Source organism: Homo sapiens, chromosome 10, assembly GCF_000001405.40.
Source record: "Homo sapiens chromosome 10, GRCh38.p14 Primary Assembly".
Taxonomy (NCBI): Eukaryota; Metazoa; Chordata; class Mammalia; order Primates; family Hominidae; genus Homo; species Homo sapiens.
This window is the reverse complement of record NC_000010.11, coordinates 112,719,239-112,744,376: the sequence shown is the minus strand read 5'-3', so window position 1 is coordinate 112,744,376 and position 25,138 is coordinate 112,719,239. Positions and strand designations below refer to the sequence as shown.

Genomic DNA, 25,138 nt, shown 5'->3' with positions numbered 1-25,138 from the left:
AACCAATCACTGATATTTCTGCAAGGAAATATTTTTAAATTTCTAGCCAGAACTTTTATCAGGTTTATCTGTATGGTTGTGGCAAGAGAGTGGACGCTGAATTGGAGGGGGTTGAGAATTAAGGCAGGGAAGCTAATTCTGAGGCTAAGCTAATAGCTTATACAAGAGGAGATGTGAGCTTGATTTAGTTTTTTTCTGTAATGTGCAAGGGACATTTGTCTCCCTGCTATGAGGCTGACCCACATAAAATTGACATTTCCGTAAGTAGAAAACAAGTGAATACTGGCAATTTCTTATGGTTCAAATATCTGGAATATTAAAAACACAAACCGACAAAGAAAAAGTCCATTCTTCCTCCCTGAGTATATCATCCCTGTTTCCTTTCACAGGGAGGGTCCCAGTATTTGATGTGGATTTCTTCAAGGTGCTGCAGACTTGGTCTTATAAGGAAACTTGAGGTTGAACAGGGGCTTCACTGTATTTGTAAAATATTAACTCTAAAGCTTATACCAGGAAGAAAGGTGTTCATTATATTATGTCCTATATTTTTTATTTCTAAAATATTTGATTGAAAATGTATATAACCGAAATAATTTTTTTCTTTTTAAGAGTGTTCTCTCTGGAGAGGCAAAAAGGAGACACAGCAGAAACTTCTCTTGACTATTCCACTGGGGTGGGAGGTTCCTGAAACTTGGGTTTGCCATGTGGAGTTTAAATCCAAACCTCAGGAGACTCCAACCTTCCAAAGGCAGAGAGGGTTGGGCATGAAATATCTCCCCCCTGGCTCATGAATATGTCTAAAGGGCGCTGGCCAGCTGGGGCGGAAGTGAAATGAGTGGAGGATGTTGTTCATAGTTAATGGTTACTGGATATTGACGACTTGCAAGGAGAAACCACACTGCAGGAGGGACTAGCCCGGTCCTTACCAAGTACACAGCCAGCCCCAGCCACAAAGTGGAAGGCAATCCTTTTGTTACGAGTACCTCCAGATGATGGAGTGAAATAATGAAATAAATAAAAAGATTACTGCATGAGTCATCTCTGGAAAGTAGTAAACATTGTAAGCCTGACGAGTTTCATCTTTTGTAAGAGTTAACATGAATGAAGACGATTTATAATGGGTCTGCTCATTGTTGCAGGGGAGCATTCACAGACTTTGATGGGATGGTACGTTTAACCTCTGAGTCCTAATAATGTTCTATTTTCCAGACGAACTCAAGGCTTGTCATATTCTAGACCTGGAAAGCGTAAATGGTATTATCTTTGTATATACAAATAAAAATCAATTCATTTTCCAAATGTTTAATTCATTCAGGAAGACACACACACACACACACACACACACACACACACACACACACACGAGAATAGGTCCCAGCTAAATCAACAACATTAGCAAATCTCCTCTTGCTTATCAAATCAGGATATATCAGGTTCAATAAAGGTGCCTGGCTTATAAATCTACAAATAAATAGTTATTTTCCTTAAGAGCATTTTGATTTATTATCTCAAACTGTATTTCCTGTTCATTTATCATAGCTTTTTGTAACTCTCCCCTTAAATGGAAGGAAGTAGTACATCTGTAAAACAAAATATCTCAATAAACCATATTCTCTGAAGTATAAATGGACATTTTCTTCTTGTGAAAATGATCATAGAACAGAGATGCCAACTAGAAATCTTTTCTCTGTCATATTTTTAAAGAAATACCAACCAAAGGCTGCATTTTCCTACAAACTTGACATCCTGAAAGGAGATCTGTATAAAGCATTAGAATTAAGCAAACCATTTAGCAGCCTCCACTCCTGGACTCTTTCGAGACATTTGTGGAACACATCTTCTCAAATCTAATAATCTGCTTCACAATACTAGAGGGAAGAAAAATAGTTTTGGGTTTCTTATGCCCTAGGGATACAACCACATCTCAAAGCTGAGTTTCAGGCTCAAAACTCTTATTTCCTAGCAACTCTGATAATCTGACCTGGCTAGGAAGGCTAGGATGCTGGGGTTCTGTATCAAGCTGTTTACTTAACACATGTCACATCTAAAATAAGGATTGCTTTAGTTGAAAAAGCAATTCATTTATAAGTGTGCATTTATAAGGGCAAAAGTCAAGGCAACTGTGCAAACCACTTGTCAACTTATTTAGAGGAAATTGTGTAATCAACTTAACGTGCCAGTTAGCCTTTACCTGCCAGGTCAAGCTCAGAGTGCCTGTCAGTCACCACATTAGCCTATTAATCACTCTGCAGGAAATTCCACATTTTTCTTTAGATCAAACTACAGAAAGTAAAGTGGGAACGGAATCTAGAGAGGATTTCCTATTCGTTTCTTTGTTTCCTTTGACTTGCCTGATGTTTCATGATTTATTTATTTTTTTTACTTGCTTGCTACAGAATTTAAAATAGGTTCAAAATGATATATCTCAATATGCATTGCTAAAGGGACTTTTATTGCACAAAGGTAAATCTAGGTATTTGATGGCTGGGTGCCAACTGACTGCTGCAGATTCCAACCAGAGATAGAAAGCATTGACACTGTTGAACAAGTAACAGATCTTTCATTCCAGGAAAGAAAAAAAAGATATAAGCTATTAAATTGAAAAGCATTTCCCCCTTTTTTCTACGCTGGTAAAAAAGTTCAGATATGTTGATTTTTGAAGATATCCTAATTTTAAGTATAATTTTTAAAAACTCACCTTCAAATACCTTAAAAATTTTTTTATCTGAAAATATCTTCATTCATCTTCATTTGTAAACAGTTTTATTGAGGTATGATTCACATACCATGCAATTCACCCATTTAAAGGGTAAAATTTAAGAATTTTTAGTGTGTTCACTGAGTTGTACAATCATCATCAATATCAATTTTAGAAGACTTTCATCACTGCAAAAGAAACCCCAATATCCGTTAACAGTCACTCTTTTGTTTTTTAGTTTTTGAGACAGGCTGGAGTAAAGTAGTGTGATCCTGGCTCACTGCAAACCTCTGCCTCCTGGGCTCAAGTGATACTCCTGCCTCAGCCTCCTGAGTAGCTGGGATTACAGGCGCGTGCCACCATGCTCAGATAATTTTTCTATTTTTAGTAGGACGGGGTTCCACCATGTTGGCCAGGCTGGTCTTGAACTCCTGACCTCAAGTGATCTGACTGCCTCAGCTTCCCAAAGTGCTGGGACTACAGGCGTGAGCCACCGTGCCTGGCCCATTAATAGTCACTCTTAATTTCCCCTCTCCAGTGCTCTGTGACCACTAATAATCTACTTTTTGTCTCTATAGATTAGTTATTCCAGACATTCCATACAATGGATTCATAGACTATGTGGTCTCTTGTATCTGGCTTCTTTTACTGAGCATGTTTTCAGGTTTATCCATGTTGGATTAGTACTTCATTCCTGTTCATGGCTGAATAATAGACCACATTTTATTTATACACTCATCAGTTGCTGGACATTTGGGTTGCTTCTACTTTTTGACTATTATAAATAATGCTGTTATAAATATTCATGTATAAGTTTTTGTGTGGACATAGGTTTTCATGGGTCTTGGATACAGATACCTAGTAATGGAAATGCTGGATCATAGGGTAAACTCCATGTTTACCATTTTAAGTGATTGCCAAACTGTTTTCCAAAGTGGTGACCCCATTTTACATTCTCACCAGCAGCACATGAGCATTCCAATTTCTCCATATCCTTGTCAGCACTTGTTACTGTCTGTTTTATTTTAGCCATTCTAGTAGGTGGGAAGTAGTATCTCACTGTGGTTCAAATATCTTTTAAAGAAAATGTTCAAGGATGGGCATCGTGGCACACGCCTGTAATCCCAGCACTTTGGGAGGCCAAAGCAGGCAGATCACTTGAGGTCAGGAGTTCGAGACCACCCTGGCCAAGATGGTGAAACCCCTGTCTCTACTACAAAAATTAGCCATGTGTTGTGGGACGTGCCTGTGGTCCCAGCTACTCAGGAGGCTGAGGCAGGAGACTTGCTTGAACCTGGGAGGCGGAGGTTGCAGTGTGCCGAGATTGCACCACTGCACTCCAGCCTGGATGACAGCGCAAGACTCTGTCTCAAAAAGAAAGAAAGAAAGAAAGAAAGTGTTCACAGGGGGAATTCTGCATTGTTTTCCCATGGCCAGTATTTGTGAACACCAACTAATCAATGCTTACAGTATCCTGTACAGTACAAAGAATGGAAGAGAGTGCAGGAAACACAGATCAAGTCTACAAGATGATGGCTCGGAGGCTTGCAATGGTTGAGGTCTTATCTTTAATCTACAATGTTCTGAATTTCTAAACGTTTAAAAACAAAATGACGAAACCATTCACAAAGGGCATTCAAAGCTGCAAATTTTTGTGTTATTGTTTGGCATTTTCTTTGCATGATTTACTTTTAGAGAACAAACCCAGTCTTAATTGCAATGCATAATTTAAAAAAAATGATTAATTTTGCTTCTGAAGAGCCAATTGTAGCTACTGTTCTATTTGAGTAGCTGCCATGCTTATGTTTCCACTTTCTGGGGGCCTTGGCCCCAGCAACAAGAAAGATAATCCTCCTTTGTGGACATTCCCACAGTTAACTCCACACACATCTGGATGGCAGTTCAATAGTCCACTGTTATTCAAACAATCTGTAATCACACATACTATGTGTCAACCAACAAGCCAGGGTGTATGGCTTTTCAGTATTCCGTAGCATGCAGCACGCACAATTTACAAATAAAATAAAAATCTACAGCAGAGACAAGGGCACATTCTTTGCAGAGTAACTGAGTGAAAAGAATGTCTCTGTTGAAATACAAGACATCGCTTGTTATTTTGATGGTAAATGAAAAGAGGTTCGGAAAACCATATTTCATCTGTTAAGTCTCTTAACATGGAAGAGCACCATAGCTGTGGCATTGAAGAATCTGGGGCCATATGGTTTTTTAAGCTGGGCTTGAAGCAGAGATGTCCAAATAACCACCATTAGCATGTGGGACATGCAACTGACAAAATTCAACAGTATCTGTCTAAGGCATGATAGACTGGGGAAAATGGGGACCATGGACATCCTCACTGTGGGCAATTGTTTTTCTCATTACTTTGAGCTGGGAGGATATTGGGAGGGAGGAGTTGAGTTCAACCCCCCAAGTGGCTTGATTAACAATTTTGGAAACAAAGGGTTCGATAAGGCGGGAGGAAGTGAAGTTGAGCTTGTCCTGAGAAAACAGCACTGGGGACAGGCTCTCCACACACACAAGTATGACAAGGTGGCAGGAACAGCATGCCAATGTGCAAGCATCGTGAGACAGGGAGGTGTTGGGAAATGCAACCAGAGTGCAGCTGTGCAACATTCCACCTGCCTTGTCTGATTGGCAGCATGATGGCCTCTGACCCTGAGGGGCTGCATGCATCATTGGGAATCTGGAGTCCATTCAGAGCGAGTTCAGGCCGTGGAACGTGTTAAGCCCTCACTGCGGGATCATGCGGCTAGGTCACTGCTGAATTCCATAAGATTCAGGGACCAGATGATAAAGCATTTCTCTTCCATGAGGGCTTTCTCCTCAAGGCTTTCCCTACTGGCTTTCTGCCCACAACACCATAACTTGACTCTTGGGCTGTACTGAAAGCTTCTTAATAGAGGACAGCCCTCATTCCAAGGTAAACACAGTTCTGTCGTACTGTAAACTCAACAGTCTTATAAGAAAATAACCATTAAGATCCAGATGGCTCATGAGAGGAAGAAACTGTCACCATTTAATCAGACTGTATTGGGGAGAAAAGATTAATTTTACACTGAACTTTACATGTCTTGATTTCTCTCCACCCACAAAATATTAATTCCTTTAATATTTCAGATGTCCAGTCATTTATTTTCCAATTCATCAGCCGTTCACTGAGGACCAAGAACTGTGCTGAATCCTAGATATAAAGAAAAAGGAAACACACTCCCCGTCCTCAAGGATCTCCTAGCCTCAGAGGAGAGCCAAGTCTGTACAGAACAATCCATAATATAAACTGACAAATGCGTTATAGAGGAGAGTGAGGAAGCACAGAGGAAAGAATAGTTATTCTGCCTGAAGGCTTGGGGAGCTTCAGACAGAAGTTAACATTGAAGCTGGGCCTTGTGAGATGAGTGGGATCTACCCAGATGAAGGGACACGTGGGCACAGGGAACGTTAGGGGTGCTCGCCAGGGATGGTGCCACTTTACATATGGCCCAAATGAGGCCTCTCTGGTAAGACAACGAATCAGACTGGCTAGAAATCAGGTGAGGAATCTAAACTCCCTTCCTACATTCCATTCTCAGTATTCCATTTGCCCCAACAATTGACAAGGATAAGAATGAGATTGTGGTGCAGTGAATAATCCAAACTTCATTAACCAGACAAGACACTCATCTTGATCTCTGGACATCGGAGGACTTGCAGGAGGCCCTAAGCATCCCCGCCTAAATGTGCCTAGAGGGGACATACCTCCATCCTCAGCTCTCTCCCTCACACTCGCTGAAAGGCATCGATCCTACGGCTCAGCTATCAAACCAACGATAAACAGGAAAAGCAGAAAGAAATGCAAGAAAAATGACTCAGCAACAGAAAATCATCAATTTGTAATTTTTTTTTTTGATCTCCAGAAGTATGTCCTGAGAGGAAAGGCGGCCAGAGAGCTTTAATTTTCCAGATCACTGTAGGTCTCAGTGACCTTGACAGTCATCCGCACATGGATGGAGTGCTCTTGTTCTATTTTTGAGGTACCCCTGTGTTTCACACATAGAGGCTTTGCCTTCAGATCACAGAGCTGGACTAAGACCTTACATGCTGTCCCTGCCGCCCCCTGGGAATGCAGGCTCCTTGCTCACGATGTACCTAAAATACTGCACACCCCGTCTAAGGCATCCCAGGGAACAGAAGATGCGGAAGAGACTTTAAAAATTCAGCCTTATTATTTTGTTAGAACTTTTTTGTTCAGTTCATTTTTGTCATTTTTTAATTATCTTCTTATGGGACAAAATGAATAATCCACAGCTCATTTAAATTCCTCCTTTTAAAAATAATTGTTAGGGTTGGGCACGGTGGCTCACAAGGTTAAGAGATCGAGACCATCCTGGCCAACATGGTGAAACTCCATCTCTACAAAAAAAAAAAAAAAGAAATACAAAAATTAGCTGGGCGTGGTGGTGTGTGCCTGTAGTCCCAGCTACTTGGGAGGCTGAGGCAAGAGAATCGCTTGGACCTGGGAGGTGGAGGTTGCAGTGAGCCAAGATTGTGCCACTCCACTCCAGCCAGGCGACAGGGCAAGACTCTGTCTCAAAAAAAAAAAGAAAAAGAAAAAAAAAGAAAAAAAATTGTCCACTATGTAATGGGTTTCTCCCTTGATTATTACAGAATCATAAAGCTCTGGGATGGGAAGGGACCAGATAAATCACCCAGAACCACAGCACATTTGATGTCAGTTTCCCCTTTGATAGCATCCTTGCCAAGTACTCATGCACTGCGCATCTATAAATACTTCCACCAGCATCATCTCACTACTCATTTTCCGTCCAGGGCAGCTCTTTCAGTGAGAAGGCTTCTCATTGAAGGCACAATACGTGTTTGAGTAATTTCCACTGGCTGGTTCTGGTTCAAGCCTTTGGGGCCAGAGACAGGTTACATTGTTTTTTCACAGAACAACCCCTGTGAACAGTGAAGAGAAATCCTTATGTAGCATTTCTCACCATCCCTCATTGCTAAATGCACTAGTTTGTATACTTGTTTCCAATTTTGGCATTTAGAACAGCAGGCTTTGGTTTCTTATCAGAGGAGCCACTTTCAGAGTCATGCCTTTTCCTTGCATTCAATTTCTATCTTAACTCTGCGCTTGTCCCAACCAACCTAACTCGATTCCCTCATTCATCGCTTTAGTCCATCCATCCACCCACCCACCTACCCATCTATCCGTCTGCCCATCCAATACTTACTAAAAACTTACTACGTGCCGGGCACCATTCTTAGAGACTAGGGTTAGAGAGAGTAGTTCTAGAGACTAGTGAATAAGATAGACAAGGAATCTGTCCTTGCATAGCTTACAATCTAGTGGTGGTATATCACAATAATCAAGTAAATAAATGAAGAAAGGAAATAAATATGAGATATTAGGTAAGGTGGACAGAGAGTCTTTTTGAGGAGTGACAGTCAACTGAAATTTGAAGAAAAAGAAAAAGCCAGCCAAGTGAAGATCTGGAGGAAGAGCATTTGGGAAAAAAAAGTTATACATTTACATATATATATATATATATATATATATACACACACACATATATATGTAAAATATACTATATATAAAAATATAAAATATATTATACAGTATATAAACATATACTATATATAAATATAAAATATGTTTTAAAATATATGTATATTTTAAATTTCACCACTCAGAACAAAGTCATGTGCAAATTCTACTTTACCTGCATGTTGCAATGCCAAATTAAATTCGTTGTCCCCGTGTCTCTGTGGTCCATGAACATGTTGCTTTTCTCCAGAAATGCAATTAAAAAAGGTCTTGTGGCACTTGGAGTGCCATAGGGGACTCAGTGACCAGACTGACAGAATATTAATTTCAACTAAGTTGCAGGTTCCTGAGTAGTTGAGGAAGAACAGGGTATTTAATCGAAAAGCCAATTCACATAACCCAAGAGCAGGCTTTGTGTGTTCTAACCAATTAAACCTCCTCTAGTTTTTAACAGCTTTGTTTATGAAGCCCATATTGAAAATGAAATGTTTATTACAATTTTTTGAAGGTGAGGTATAGAACTTGGCAAAGTATTGATTAATAACTTGTGGATGGCTGGTGTAAGGAAACCAGTTTTGAACCCAGCTGTAAACAATGCCTCAGCAGAGTGTTTCAGCTCTTTGTAGGCTCAGAGCTTGCCAATTTGTAATTAGTTGCAGATTTTCAATTACTTCTCAGCAAACAAAATAGTTTTATTTGCATTGTTTACTCGGCATTTAATTTAAAAGGAATCCGATTGATTGTTTTTAAAGAAAGATGAATTTGGAGGGTTGGGAGAAAATAAATAGGTAAATGTTTGAGTAGCCCTACATCTGTATTTTTGTTTTGAGTGAAACAAGTGTACAGGATTTGGCCTAAATTCAATCGAGTCTATCACACAATCTCAAAATGCCTCCTGTGCAATTTGTCAAAAGAGAGATTTTTGGCAACTGCATATAAAACTCTTGAGATTTGTAATGAAGAACATAATCAGAAGGGAAAAAAAGCAAAGTTGCATTTTCTGCGAATTAAAACTGGTAAATCACTGTGGGTAGCTTTAAATTCAACAGAAGATAAAAATAATTACTATTTTAAATGTTAGTCCTTGTTACTTTGCTTCAGACTGGTTCTCTCCTTGACTTGGGGTCCTTGTAGGCCCATGGTTTTTTCTTTGGAGAAGAAAATTCAAATCATTCAACAAAATATTTATTGAGGGCTGGGCGCAGTTGCTCATGCCTATAATCCCAGCACTTTGGGAGGCCGAGATGGGCGGATCACTTGGGGTCAGAAGTTTGAGACCCCATCTCTACCAAAAATACAAAAAAATTAGCCTGGCATGGTGGCAGGCGCCTGTAATCCCAGCTATTCGGGAGGCTGAGGCACGAGAATGTCTTGAACCTGGGAGGCGGAGATTGCAGTGAGCCGAGATCGCGCCACTGCACTCCAGCCTGGGCAACAGAGTGAGACTCTGTGTCAAAAAAAAAAAAAAAAGAAATTTATTGAGGACTTATACAATGGTTGCTGCTAGATATTAAAATGAGTAAGGCAAGATTTCTGCCTTCATGAAGCTCAGTATTTAATTGGAAAAGGACAGAAATTTACAAAGAGCCCTTTTAAAGACTGGCTGTGATAGGTATTATGATAAATAAAATGCCAGAATTAGGGAGAAAGGAGGAATTCACTCTGATTAATGGACCAGGGAAGGTGAGAAGGTAAAACGCAGGATTATAGAGGAGGAATGGACTCCTGCATTTGTGGGGAGAGGAAGAATATTTTAGGGGGAGGAAACAGGACACACAAAGGGATGCAAGAACGAGTGTGCACCACGGGCCAGAGACCCCCGAACAGTCTAATGTGTTTGGCTCAGACATGGTATACAGGTGAGGGATGGGAATGATGAAGGGAGAGGAGGAACAGATTGTGGGCAGCCTTGGCCTGCTGGTAAGGAGCTTGAACCCTATTTTGAGGTGGGAGGAGCCACTGGAGAGTACTGAGAAGGGCAGTGACATGGTCAGATGGGTCTGCGTTTGAGAAAGACAAACTGGGGAAGGAATAGCATTTGAAAGGGGCAGGAGCAGTAAGAATGTAAATGAAGGCCAGGCACGGTGGCTCACGCCTGTAATCCCAGCACTTTGGGAGGCTGAGGTGGGTGAATCACCTGAGGTCAGGAGTTCGAGACCAGTCTGACCAACATGGTGAAACCCTGTCTCTACTAAAAATACAAAATTAGCTGGGTGTGGTGGTGCACCCCTGTAATCTCAGCTACTTGGGCTGAGGTAGGAGAATCACTTGAACCCAGGAGGCTGAGGTTGCAGTGAGCCGAGATCACACCACTGCACTCCAGCCTGGGCAACAAGTGTAAAACTCTCTCTTAAAATAAAATAAAATAAAATAAAATAAAATAAAATAAAATAAAATAATGTAAATGAGAACTGACTAGCAGTATTGCAAGTGTGGAATCCACAGGACTTAAAGAACAATTAGACAATAGGAGTGAGAGAAGGGAGAGGACCCAGCTGTTTCTCAGACTTCCATAGATGATGATGACATTACCCAAAACAGAGAACATATGAATAACTTTGACCAAATAATAAACACCACTACGCCAGAGAATGCCATAGTAAAACATTATGGCAAACTTAAAAAACTTCATGCTAAATGAAAGAAGCCAGTCACAAAAGGTCACATATTATGTGCTTCTATTTGTATGAAATATCCAGGGTGGGTAAATCCACGGAGACGGGGGCTGGGGGAATGGGAAGCAACTGTTTAATGGGCATGGGGTTGCCTTTTGGGGTGGTGAAAATGTTTTGGAACTAGGTAGACATGAGGGTTGCATAACATTGTAAATATACTGCATGCTATACTTTCAAATGGTTAATTTCATATGAATTTCAATTTTAAAACGATAAAAGCAAAGCAAAAAATAAAAAATAAAAAATCAAACCAAAAATAAAAAATCAAACCAAAACCCAAAAACACCATGGCAGCCCAAAAAGCCTTGTATTCCAGAGCTGAACGTGCCAGGAATCTCCTTTTAAACCCAGATAATCCCAGTAAGGAAAGAAACCTAAGGGAAGGACTGCTAGTGCCCATGCACTGAGCAGAATCACCTGGTCCCCAGTGGACACACTCCTTCCTAGCTGCTATTATGCACGTTTTGCTGGGAAGGCTGATAGCCTTGGAATTGGAGGTATGTTCTCTTCTTGGGGACCATCCACCTTTACTGTGTCAACTCTGGCTGACCTAGTAATGTGAGCAGTCAATCTGCCATGTGAAAACATATCAGAGGGAGGGGAAAAAGCAGCAAAGTACATCCAGAGAGAAGCATGTGGGTCAGGAAACAGTAAGAAAAACTTTCTGGCATTCATATTGGTCATCAGTAGCCCAAGGGGAATAAAGGGTTTCCTGATGCTCAGTGCATCATCAGGAAGATTAATTAACATTTGTAAAGGCCACACACAGTGTGAAAGGCCCAGTAATGGATCTCCAAAAGCCACAGTCCCTGCTTTCCAGAAGGTCATGAAACAAGGAGTGGAAAATATTCCCTAGAAGACAGAGCTGGATGACCTCGACCATGAAGAACATTGCAAAGAAACGACCGGGCTTGTCTGGGATTCTCTTCATTCTGAAGTTGAATCTGATCTGACAGATGTGGTGAGTAATTAAACCCTTGTCCATTCATAGTCTGAATGCTTGCACTGCACAGAGAATGGGGCAGGAATAATGAGAGGCACAGCCCCTCTGGGACTATTCAGGAGTGCTCAAATTTGCATGGTCACATGAACCCAAAGGAAGTGGATTATGCTGGCCTGGCCAGGAAGTAGAGACAGCCAAAGATTTCTGATTTGCATAAATCCTAAGGCTGGAAGGCAGAGAGGCTTAAAGGCTCTCAAAAAAGGCCAGATGTAGCTGCCTTCCCTAGAACCCAGCACATCTCTGTAGCTAGATGCCTTCTCACAAAGGCTGTACAGGTAATCAAACTTGTGATGTCATTTGCTCAAAAGTTTCATAAATATGTACTGTTAAGTTCCCCAAAAATGTGATTTTTACAAGTGAAGTTGCTGTACAGTCTCCTAGGGAATGGATTCTTTTAATTAGCTTGAAAAAAAGGTGATTCGGTAAAGGGTAATGCATTTTATTATGATTAATGCTGTCAAATAATTTCTAATGGTGTGACAAGGTGCTTAAGTAAAGAATTGTTTGTGGCTTTAAAAAATAGTTAATGCCTCTCAAAAAGGATTATTTTCTTTTTAAGTTTCAAATGAAGGCTACTAATTAATTAATCCATTTACATAAAAATGTCTTGGATCAGCTACCTGCAAAGATAAAGGATGAAATCTATCCTCTAATTGGAAAAAGAAAAACTGCTATAAAATATGTGGAATAAACATATGAAAGTAATCTACAAAAGGCAAATAGAAGTCATTAATTAAAAACTGACATCAAAAATTTCATTTCATTCTATGCAATATTAAAAATATTGGTGATGTCATATACTTAACTGAGTAATCTTCCTAAAATATGCCTTCTCATGTATGCTGTTTTATGCAGTTTTTTTTTTTTTTTTGAGATGGAGTTTCACTCTTGTTGCCCAGGCTGGAGTGTAGTGGCACGATCTCGGCTCACTGCAACCTCCACCTTCCAGGTTCAAGCGATTCTCCTGCCTCAGCCTCCTGAGTAGCTGGGATTACAGGTGCCTGCCACCATGCCTGGCTAATTTTTTTGTATTTTTAGTAGAGATGGGGTTTCGCCATGTTGGGCAGGCTGGTCTTAACTCCTGACCTCAGGTGATCCACCTGCCTTGGCCTCCCAAAGTCTTGGGATTACAGACGTGAGCCACCGGGCCTGGCCTTATGGAGTTTATTCACGGGAAGTCATGCAAAACTACATGGTGGTTTCAAGAAATTGGACTGAAATCTCCCTTCAGTTTTTCCCAAAATGTAGCTAACTTCATGTTATCTCCCAGATTCATAGACATCAGGCAACCAAGCTTGGTGAAAGCATTCCAACTTTTGCTCCCTTCAGTTCTGAACGAGTGCTACCCTTGATATAAACAGTCATTACAGACCCAGAATGCAACAAAGAAGGCAGATATTTACTAGTGAAAAACTGAAGTTCCTTAATCACTTTAATATATATAATCAAATGGAAATTATATATTACCCAGACTAATTATATATAATTTCTTGGCATCAGGTATAAACTATTCAGACTATCAAGGAAAAAAATAAAAAGATGCTTCTTTATAGCAGAATTTTTATTATAAAATATATCTCACAGCAAATCCCATCTTTTTAGTATCTGGTCTTTAGTCTTTGATGATTTCAGTTTGTTTTTCCAAATTTTTTTTCCAAGCTGAGGCTGTGCTGCCATTTTTGCAATTGGGATTGGTATTTTTATGATCACTTACTGGATTTATTATACGGTGGTTGAATAAACTGCTGACAAGAAAAGTGGAAAGGGAAAGAGAGAAAAGAGGAGAGAGTTAAAAAGCCAAGGAGATGGAAAAAGAAGAAAAAAGAGGGAAGAAAGAACAGGAAGGAAAGGGGGAAAGAGGTTAAAAAAAAAATCCTAAAAGTAGATGTTGTAATACATAGGAAAAAGAAACTCGGGCACCTGTCAAAGGGACTCCATGTGTCAGTGAACTGCAGGAGGTGACACTTAGGCATCCTGGCTGTACATCATCCCTCACTCTAAATGAATGTAAAGGTAGATCTTTATTCTTTTGGACTGACAAGATCACGCCACAAGGTGACTATCAATTGGCAGGGACTTCAACTTTACAAAGTTGTGCTGAAAGACAGAATTATCAATAAGCTCCTGAAGACACATTCTCACCAGGAGAAATGGAAAACTCAGGTTCTAGCCAAGTCCTTAAGAATGCAGAGGAAGGAGGGTCACAGAATGGAGGAAATCTCTGGTTTGCTGGTAGCTGTAACCTCTCCCCCTTAAAAAGCCCATCTTCACCTTTAAAATAATGCAGATTGTTCATGTATTCTTTGAAGGAGCTTAACATGACTTGTACAAAAGGCCAGCATAATTTTCCAGCTGTTTTGCTGAGAAATATGCCCTCTTCTATGGTCAGTGAGATTCAGCTCCAGAGAAGTGAAATAACTCAATCCAGGTGTTGCTGCTGGGGAGAGAGGTCCTGATGTTGGGGCCCCTGGATTGGAGGTCAGCATGCCCAGCCTTTGGCTGTGGAACTTTCTGGGGAGTATCAGGTTTGCTACGCACAAAGAGGGCTGGTAGAACTCTCCTGATCACAAGACATGACACTTGCCAGTACCACTAGAGCGCTGAAGAGGCGCAGGTTTCCTTTTCCCTGTCTTTGTAGATTACACCAAGGGTGTCCAGCCTGCAATCAGCTGATTTGAAAATGGAGTGCCCACCTGACTGTATTTCAATTGCTTCATATCCCCATCAACAACAATGGATCAGCCCACAGGAGGTGCTGACCCTTCACTGCTTGTGCCTCGTAAGAGATCTCTTGGAAGTGCTCATCAATTTGCGTGTGTTTTTCTTGTTACTTCTGTTGTATATTTCGCATGTGGTCTATTTCATAATGAGAAAAGTCTTCCTAAGATTCTACACAGAGCTATAACTTCTTAACCTTATGGAGTCTAAGTTTCTTTAACTGTAAAATTGAGACAGTTCCTATTTGTGGGGATTGTTGATAATTAAAAAATAAGCATGTTGCTTAGCACAAAAAAGGCACACAAGAAGTGGTAAACATCACAATTACTACCACAGAAAAAGAAGTGCAAAAAGTTGTTTAGGGCTATGAAAACATCTTTATTTTCATATTTTTATTCCCAGAGGTTTAAAATGTTCAGGTCTGTTTGCATTCTTTTTGGTCTCTGCTGCTATCAACACATTATTTAAAGAGTGTTAGAAAAGTTAATCCAAGAGAAACACACTTTTGGTCATTGGCCTCTTTAAGTGACACCTTTTTCATTAATTATTACCTTTCAGTGACAGTGCTGTGGCCAATTTCCATTCCCTCTGTTGGCCTGTATGAGTTCTAGGGTAAAAAGTGGTTTGGAACCTTTTTAGTCAAGGAGCAAAGAAGGCTATTTTTTTAAACTTTTAAGAAAAAAAATCAAAACCACCCAAACCAAAACCCCTAAAAGGCATCATGGTTGTTAAGGCTGAGAAGTTAGACCTGGTTCTGAGACCAGCTCGGCCACTTACGGAGGGCATGATCTGAGTTAGTTGTTTCCTTACTTATAAAATGGTATAATAAAAACATTGATCTCTTAGGCCTATTGTGCAGATTAAAAAAAAATCTACTAACATAAAATGCATAGCCCCATGCCTGGTACATACAATGGTTACCATAATCATGCTACTATCAATAACCATAAAACTCCATACAGGAGTCAGGGCATTGGTGCAGTGAACATTTGTTGTTAGATATTGTCCGAGAACACTAGGGGTAGCCTGAGCCCCTAATTACCCCCAAGTATGATTCTATTTTTTTTCTTCCATTTCAGGAAATTCATTTGTACTTGAAAATAGTCATTAAGCTGAGCCCTTTGTGATGCATGTGTTTAAAAAATGTGGTGGTGACACCTGGGTTATCAGTCTCTTTATTTGCAAAGACAAAGGTCACATCAGACTTTAGCTATTGTGCATTTCTGGGCCCACATACTGTGGACAAGCTCCTTTATCCCTTCAATGTCCCATGCATGGTAAGCAGGACAACTGTTTCCTTTTTATTAGATAGGGCAAACGGCCTGTGTTGTTCAAAAGGGATGTTAAAAAGCAAAGTTATTTCCACAAAATTTATAGCTCACTTAGTTGTTGATAAACATAAACCAGGTGTCACTCTTGCAACACATACCCAGACACCCTCTACTACTGATTTCACCAGCTGTGCAACATATTCTCAATTTTTCTTCTTTTACTTTTAGCAGATAATGTTTCTGAATCCACTCATTTTGAGGGGGGTGGGGGGAAGAAAAGAAAGAAGGAAACCTGTCTCTTTACGCAGGGACTGGTTCCACAGAACCTGAGAAACTTTCCTGAGGTAAAATCCCTTTCTCTGGTTAGTGAGACAGCCGGTGACTTCGGGTTCAGACTGTCCCCCCAGCAGCCTGCTGTGTCACAGATGTGCTGCTAGGGGTGTGGAATGGACCCTACTGGGTATGGGGGTGGTGAAGAGGGGCTGTGAGGTTGGGATTAAACCCCTCCTTAAGTTGGTCGGTCCTCAGGCCGCCTGGTAACTTTCTACAAGCCCAGTTTTTAAAGGCAAGATTTTCAAAGAACAGATTTTACTAATTCTGGATCCTTAGGGAAGACAGAAAGAGATGACATAAAGGGGTAAGAGAAGGGAAAAACTAGGCAGAGAATGCATGACCATATCTCGTTTGCCTTTCATTTATAATAAACTCTTATTCTGTCAATTAAGTAAATTATATTCTTCCCACTGTGACTATCATTATACTTGAGACCACTCTAGTTTTTCTGCCCTGTAAATGGATCACATTTGTTACTGACTTGTTAATTCATACAACATGTACACTGAAATACAAACCGTCCCGAAAGCCTCACAACTTCCACAGTGAGGACCAGCTCTTTAAGATTATTCTATTTATTTCACATTCTATGAGAATATTCAGTGAAGTTAATGACTGCTTATAATTTATTTCCTATCATATTTTTTTCATGTAAGTAGCTTCAACTTCCTAGGAATTATAAAAAAAATTTTTTTTTTCCCTGCAGGGTATCATTAGGGAATAAATGTGGTTTCTTCTTTTGGGCAACAGTTTTGCTCTGCTCACCTTTCAGCAAAGATTTACTGAATACCAACTCTATGCCTTGTTCTAGGTATACTTTGTAGAAGTATAGAGTGGAGAAAGACAGGCTAAAACAACAAGGTAGTAGGGTGAGTAAAGGTACTCTGGGTTTCATGTTGTTGCTTCTTAGACTATCTGAAATGAAGGACCAGTTTGTGCTTTGGTTTTTAATTTCCAACCTGTTGACAACTGATGGGGGGGCCTTTTTGCATGACTGCTATGCAGCTCCCACTGCGTGCAACTCACCTTGTGAACTCATCAGCACCCAAAATGCTTTGTACCCTATTCAATGAGACAAGTCCAAGGACCATATGCTTGCATGTTGTGACCACATCAAATTGCTATAAATTTTTTTAGATGCCTGTTCTCAGTTTCTACATTTATGATGTCACGGAATGACATCAAATAGTTCATAGACTGGCACCAGGAGTACTTCTATACCAAAGAATAAATAATGTTGAGTGGAGTGATTTGAAACTGACCCCCCGGTATCAGCTATATGCCTTCTTGTTCAGACTCACCTCCAAACCCTGCAGCCTCCAACAAGCCAGTGCACATCAGGATCTAGTCTATGAAAACAAATGAAACTCCAAGATACCCTGAGCTCCTTGAAGCCCATGAAATTGTCTGTAAAATTTTGTGTATATGTACATTTTTCCAGAGAGAGGTTCTATAGTTTTCATCAAATGTACAAATAGGTATGTGGCCTCAAAATGGTTAAGATAAACTAACTCCTTAACACTTTTTCATTACCTGGCAACCCTAGTTAAGAATTTCAACTTGCAACTGCCCATGCTTCCTAGGAAACACACACACCTGAGGGGATTGTTGGTTTTATGAAGCCTTCCTGGGTCTGGGGCCAGGACTGCCTGTTTCCATGGTGTTTCAAAGCATGGTTGTTCTGGGTTAAGAACAAGACTAAATTTGTCTACTGACGGCTTGGACAGCAACAGGAGGTTGACTCCCTTCAAGAAATAAAAACATAAAAATAGTCTGTGTAAGAAAGGGTACCATTATTCTTCAACATTAGAGAAGTGTTCCCCACTCTGGTGTCTTAGAAGCCCAGAGATGAGCTGGGGTATCTGATTTAGAAGGAGAGGATGAAGGCATTGAGAGAAGCAGCAGGATCTGGTTGGAGAAGGAGGTGGAATCACAGGGAGCACTGGCCATTATAAGACTGTGTGGGGAGGGAGCATCCAGGTGGAACCAGATGCCTACGGACAGCAGGACGATGAGATACCAAGGAAGACTGCGTTACCACTCCAACATAAACATAACCATTTCAGGGGAAATCTACCCTTGGTGTCTAGACTGAAGTCTTTATATACTATTTCCTAAGGAAAGGAATCAGGATTCCTTGTAAAAATAGTTGCTTCCAGGTTTGGGCCAGGAGCCTATGGCATCTTATCCTGACAGAAAAGACTAGTGGAATCATGTTAAAAGGCAAAAGAGGCAACTTGAAGGGGATCTCACCGATCAAAGAGTAATGGATGGACACCTATAAAATAGATAAAAGTCCAAGGGTTTATATTGATGCTCAAAACAAACAAGCAAGCATCATTGATCACTTTTGCAGGTTGCTGGTGCCATTCAATAATCTGAAAACTATTTAATAAACAGAGGCATTTATGCTGCTTTTCTGATATGAACTGTATTTCAGAGTAACCAAATAGTTGATGATAGTAAGCTTTTCTATATGATAGAATAATAGCTAGTAAATGCAAACTGAATGACAGAAGTGAACATTACCATGTTGTAATCCCTAATGAATGTTGGCAGTGATCATCAGTGGTTGCTAAAACTATTATGTTAACAGGTTGATAGAGAACTTCATAATGGATGAAAGGCTGACCACACCTGAACCCACTGATCAATCTTGATCTCAATAAATGTAATGCAAACAGATGTTATGTGCCTCCTGATGTGATACAGTTGAATTTGCATCTCATTAAGTCATTTGATCTAAGTATTAATTTACAGAAAGTACAGAGGAAATATAAACATGTTAAATGGCACCATGGAGATGCAATATTCAAATACATAAAATGAACATTTTTACAGGACGATAATCTACAGGACAAAAATTTTTACAGGACAATTTCTTCAACAAATAAATGTAATAAAAACAGGAGGGCGATCTGTAATAGATTAAAGAACGTTTAAAGACAGATCAACCAAATGCAATAGATATACTGTGTTTGCAGCCTGATTTAAACCGTCCAGCTATTTGTGAATGCTTTGGAAACAATTAGGAAATACTGAACCCAGACAGGTTATGCAGTCATTTCTAAATAGTGATTACGTTTTTTAAAAGTTATGCTGTATGTTCTAGAGATACATACTGAAATATTTACAGGTAAAATCAGACATCTGGGATTTGCTTTAAAACACTCTAACAAAACAAAACAAAAAGAGGAGAGAAGGATAAAACAAGAAGGGTGACATGTTGGTAGCTGTTGAAGATGGGTGTTAGAGACATGTGGGTTCATTACACTATTTTGTCTCTGTGTGTGAATTTCTGTAAAAAGGTTTTTGTTTTTTTTTCTTTTTTTTTTTTTCAAAAAAAGGGGGGATGGGGGAAGGAAATCTCACAGAATATAAAGCAAGCAAGACAGGCAAGCTAATGAAAACACAACCCTTATCTATAGAGTTTTTGAGTTCATGTCCAAACTTGCCCCAGCTCTGGGGTCTGAGGGAGGGCGAACACAGATTACATGAGGGAATGCACTCACTGCTCTCTTAGTGCAGGGTTACTAGGTGCATGGGAATTCACGGGGAAAGAGCAATTTGTGCTGAGTTCATAATCCCCAAGAGAGGTCAGGGCAGCTTTCTGATTGGTTGGAGGAGATAGAGCCTTCCAGGATCTACCCTGGAAGAGGCAAGCAAAAGGATCCCAGCCATAGTTTGGTGTCCTCTTTAACCTCATTCCCAGGGCAAATCCAAAACAAGTACCAACAGTACCATGCCATCTGGAATTCTATAATGCACAGCTGGCAATATGTCACGGTAAGCAACCCTCCGAACTGTAGATGATTGGCATATTTAAAGGCCACACACATCTTTTCTTCAGCTCTCTGTCTATCCTCTTATATGTTATTAATGCATGTAATAAATTTGGCCTTGGACAGGGCTTGGTTAAAGGCAATAACACCATACTTGATACAGAAATGACCTATTGGGACCTGTAATATCTCTGTGCCAGCTTTTTTCAATTAAATGACCACAACTAGCAAACAACTATTAACATGGGGACTGTGTGGGATACAAAGATATGCAGTGTCTGCAATGGTGAACCACTAAATGCTTGTAGGAGAAAAAGGGAAAAAAGTTTCTCATATAAGTTCTTGAGACAAAGATGTTATTCAGCTTTACAATCCTTTGAGCTCCTGCTAGGAATATTCCACCAGTGTCCACAATTGCAGTTAGAGGCTATCTTGATAGAATCTGTGTGCTAGAAAACCTGTAATATGCACATAATGTCCGCTCTTGCCCTGAATCCCAGAGAATGGAGGACTATTGCTACTGTACTCTCAGTGACTAGAGCAACTTCAAATTATTCCTTCATCAACTGAAAACTAAATAGAAACTATGCTTAATTGTGTTCTTTGATTTTTCTCTGAGGCTATCCCACATATTCAAATTATATTTACTTTTTAAACGATTAGGACACTGGCATTTGGAGCCCTTGCTTCCTATTTAGCAGTAACCATGCTTTCCAAACCACAGGTTTGATCAGCAGGGTGGGCCATCTGAAATTGAGATTGTCCTGAAGATTCAGGAGGTCAGCCTGCCGCATGCAGTACATGCCTTTCCCAGTTACGAAACAGAAACCCAGCCTGACCCTTCAGTCCGGGCCCCCACCTTGCAGAGCTATGGCCTGATCTTAATGTAGAATCAAGTGCTCGATGGAAAAACAGGTTACCGGGTTCAAGCTTGATCTTCTTGCAAAAAGTCCGATGCAAAACATTCCACTTCATCGGGAAGTTCTAGAGCTGAGAAGTATGTTGCTAATGTTGCTAAGAGTTCTTAGTTTTCAAGTAAGGCCAGGTATAGTCCTGTACAGGGAAGAGCACTTTTTCTATAGGTTCCTAGCTTCTAACACCTAGCAGGACACCACTGCTACCAACAACAAAACAATAATGGTGACGAGGAGGACGATGATGATGGTGGTAATTATAATATCATAATATGTAGAGTTTTAATTTTCTTTTGGGTCTTTATTAACTTTAGCCTTTACTTTGTAACTACTATTATTATCTTGATTTACAAATAAAGAACTTGAGGCACAGAGTGATTAAAATAACTTTCCTGACGTCACAAAGCTAGTAAGTGGACAAAGCCAGGCTGTCTGGCTCAAGAGCAGCAGTGTGAACCACTGTAAGACACTGCCCCTTATTGTACTAAAGAGCATTGGCTTTGAATTGATAATAGAAATGCTAGACAAGAAGCTGAATTACAAAAGCAAACGTCCAGATTTTGCCTGGACTCATGCTCAGAGTAGACTGATTAGATGAGCTCTTCTTAACTCTGGTTTCATGTAAGCATCACCCGGACAGCTGTTAAGATACTGGGAACCCACCAGTATCTGGGAACTAGAGAATATGATTCATTTGGTCTGCGGTGGGGCCTGGGCATCTGATTTTTAAAAAGCTCCCCAGGTGATTCTCACGAGCAACAAGGGCTGAGAGCCACTGACCTCTGAAGCACTTTGCAAAACTAAAAAACAAATTTGGAATTGCTGCCTCTTTTCTCTTTCTCTTGGATAGTCACAAAGAACAACAGCATGTTGCAGGCTCATATCAAATCTTTTTTTAAAAATGTTTAATTTTTTTATTATTATACTTTAAGTTCTAGGGTACATGTGCACAATGTGCAGGTTTGTTACATATGCATACATGTGCCATGTTGGTGTGCTGCACCCATTAACTCGTCATTTACATTAGGTATTTCTCCTAATGTTATCCCTCCCCCATCCCCCCACCCAACGACAGGTCCCGGTGTGTGATGTCCCTCACCCTGTGTCCAAGTGTTCTCATTGTTCAATTCCCACCTATGAGTGAGAACATGTGGTGTTTGGTTTTCTGTCCTTGCGATAGTCAAATCTTATCTGAATATAGATCCCTTGTTGTATACAGCATCTGTTAACATAGATGGGAACAGCTGTTCTAACCTTTTACAAACCAGTAATCCAGGTTGATAAATTTGGTTACTTTCTTTTAAAGAGAAAACCCTGTACCCTTAACATTGCAGGATAAGAGTGTATCAGAGCTAAACTCTCTTTCCTCAATAAGGATACAGAGGACCCCTTAAACCAGCTTACTCTCTTAACTAAGAACAAAGATCCACAATTTCATAGTTGAAAGGGCTCTTAGGTGCCATCTAACATCTCTCAGCACCACAAACACACTCCCCACCTCCCCCAATGCAGAAATGCCTTCTGCAAGATCCTTCCAGATGGTCAGTCAGCCCTAGTTTGAACAGTTCAATGACAAGAGGCCTCACTCCTTCATAAGACAACACATTTCATTGTTGGACAGATCAATTCTTCTTTATATGGGTTCAAAATTAGCCTCCCTATAACTTCTACTTGTTCATAGCTCTGTTGTTGTCTGAAATAATGGTATAAAGTCTCCTCTCCTTTCAAATGAGTGCCCAACAGCACATCATTATGGCGGAGGATGGTACACTGGAGGGAATACACAGGACTACATGGGAGCCAAGAGACTTGTTTTGAAAAGCAGCTCTGCCTCAGACTTTAGGACCGTAGTAACTAAAGCCCTTCAGGCCTTTGTTTCATCATGAGTATTAAAAGTACATAAAAACAAAGACAATGAAAAGCTTGTCAAATTGTGAGCATCAAATTAAAAGTGTAAGTCAAATGCTTTGTAACTGAAAAGTACCCTATGAATGTAAGTTGTTCTGTTATTGGTGCCTTAAGGTACAGTATTCTTACATTTGAACAATTCTTCTGTCCACAGAACCATATATTCTACTTCTGAAGTTGGTATTGTAGCGTTGCTAAATAACTGTTAACTATGGCAATGGTAAGTGAGTGCTCCTTGATGCCACCTATCGGTTATTTGTTTCAGTGACCATGAGAAGTTGGAAGATGGCACAGGAAGCAATGTGCTGATGCTGTCTTTCATTCCTCAGACAGATCAGAAGAAACAGAGCACAGCAGATTTGGAATCAGAAAATCTGCCACTCACTATGTAGGTGCCATTGAAAAAGTGAGCTAACCTCAGTTTCCCCACACATAAAACGAGAAAATAAAAGTATCAATCTTACATATGCTTCTATGAGGATAGAAGAAAATAATATGTGTTAAGTACTCAACAATAAATGTCACTGAGTAAACTGCAGGGCATTTTCACCATTTTTTTTTTTAAATCAGTGAGAACCTAGTGGCAAAGTGCTATATTCTCTCTAAAATAAACAGAGAATTTCAGATACTCCACCTGGATACAATTCCAACTCTATCATTAATTCTCCATGTGACCCACATATTTCACCTCTTAGGTCCTTGCTTTCCTAATTGGTAAAATGAGTTAATTAGACAAGCTGATCTTTCTAGGTATGCTTCTGGGACCACTAATATCCGTATCGCTAACCAAACGGAAAACAAAGTTTTAGAAGCAAATTGCTTCCTGAGAACAATTCAGTTATCGCCTAATCTAAAATACTACCATGGTAAAAAGAACATCTTCAACGTATACATTTGTTTGAAAATCCCTCCCTTTAGGAAGATATATTTGTTTCTAATGGTTCTGCTAACCACATGCCTGAGGTGAGGCAAAAGAATTTTTAAAAACTCAATAGAATCAGACATTTCTCCAAAGAAGAAATACAAATGGCCAATAAGCACATGAAAAAATGTTCAACATCTAGACATTAGGGAAATGCAAACCAAAGCCACCATGAGATAGTTCCTCACTGCTACTTGAAAAACTATAATATAAAAGATGCACAAAAGCAAGTGCTGGTGAAGAGGTGAAGAAATTGGAACACTTATTCATTGCTGGTGGGACTGGGAAACAGTGCAGCCACTTTAGAAAATAGTTTGGCAGTTTTTCAAAAGCTATGCAAAGTTACCACATGACCCAGCAATTCTACTCCTAAGTAGGCAGCAAGGAGAAATGAAAGTGTATGTTCACACAAAAACTTGTACATAAATGTCCATGACAGCATTGTTCATAATATTCAAAAAGTAGAAACAACCCAAATGTTCATCAATTGATAAATGGACAAATAAAATTTATGTATCCATACAATGGAATATTATTTGTCAATAAGAAGATTTGAAACATTATGCTAAGTGAAAGAAGCCAGACGCAAAATACCACATATAGTATGATTCCATTTATAAGAAATATCTAGAATAGGCAAATCTATAGAGACAGGAAGTATACTAGTGGATGTCAGGGGCTGGCAGGAAAGTGGGAGTGACTATTAATGGATACCAGATTTCTTTTTGCGGTGATAAAAATGTTCTACAATTGGGCTGGGTGTCGTGGCTCACGCCTGTAATCGCAGCACTTTGGGAGGCTGAGACGGGCAGATCACCTGAGGTTGGGAGTTTGAGACCAGCCTGACCAACATGGAGAAACCCCGTCTCTACTAAAAATACAAAACTAGCAGGGTGTGGTGGCGCATGCCTGTAATCCCAACTACTCGGAAAGCTGAGGCAGGAGAATCGCTTGAACCTGGGACGCGGAGGTTGCGGTGAGCCGAGATCGCACCATTGCACTGCAGCCTGGGCAACAAGAGCAAATCTCTGCCTCAAAAAAAAAAAAAAAGTTCTACAATTGTTTGTGGTGATGGTTGCATGATGCAGTGAATATCCTAACAGCTACTGAATTGTACATTTTAAATGGGCGCATTATATAACATATAAATTATATCTCAATAAAGCTGTTAAAAAAACAATAGAAGCACATAATCGATAAGGATCAAGAATCAGTTCCATTTAATCAAAGTGCAAGGAACATGTATGTTTGTATAATAGCATTTTATGTGGATAATTGCTTTGTACATTCAACTGCTTTAAACCCATTTTTGCATTTGGATCATTTTTCAAGGAGGAGATGAAATTTAAGGAAGTAAAAT

General features: G+C 40.0%; 1 protein-coding gene across 8 annotated transcripts in view, besides 2 other annotated features; it reads right to left on the bottom strand.

The window, feature by feature from the left end:
- VTI1A (vesicle transport through interaction with t-SNAREs 1A) overlaps window positions 1–25,138 on the bottom strand; it is a 408,381-nt gene that overhangs the window by 110,992 nt on the left and 272,251 nt on the right. The window contains exon 8 of one of the 8 annotated variants that reach the window (NM_001365710.2): window positions 6,579–7,654. The exons of the other annotated variants lie outside the window; for them this stretch is intronic. Within the exon in view, the coding sequence (NP_001352639.1) occupies window positions 7,603–7,654 (52 nt within the window). The 3' untranslated portion in view covers window positions 6,579–7,602. Of the gene's footprint in view, window positions 1–6,578; window positions 7,655–25,138 lie in introns of those variants that run through there. 8 annotated transcript variants of the gene reach the window in all.
- Window positions 11,528–12,029: an enhancer, noted in NCBI's record as "NANOG-H3K4me1 hESC enhancer chr10:114492107-114492608 (GRCh37/hg19 assembly coordinates)". NCBI's record gives its function as "activates a minimal SCP1, AML or CMV promoter by ChIP-STARR-seq in naive H9 embryonic stem cells {active_cell/tissue: H9 hESC(naive)}" and the evidence as "EXISTENCE:reporter gene assay evidence [ECO:0000049][PMID:30033119]".
- Window positions 22,993–23,287: a silencer, noted in NCBI's record as "tiled region #3692; K562 Repressive DNase unmatched - State 13:Ctcf". NCBI's record gives its function as "represses a minimal TATA promoter and a strong SV40 promoter by Sharpr-MPRA in K562 cells {active_cell/tissue: K562}" and the evidence as "EXISTENCE:reporter gene assay evidence [ECO:0000049][PMID:27701403]".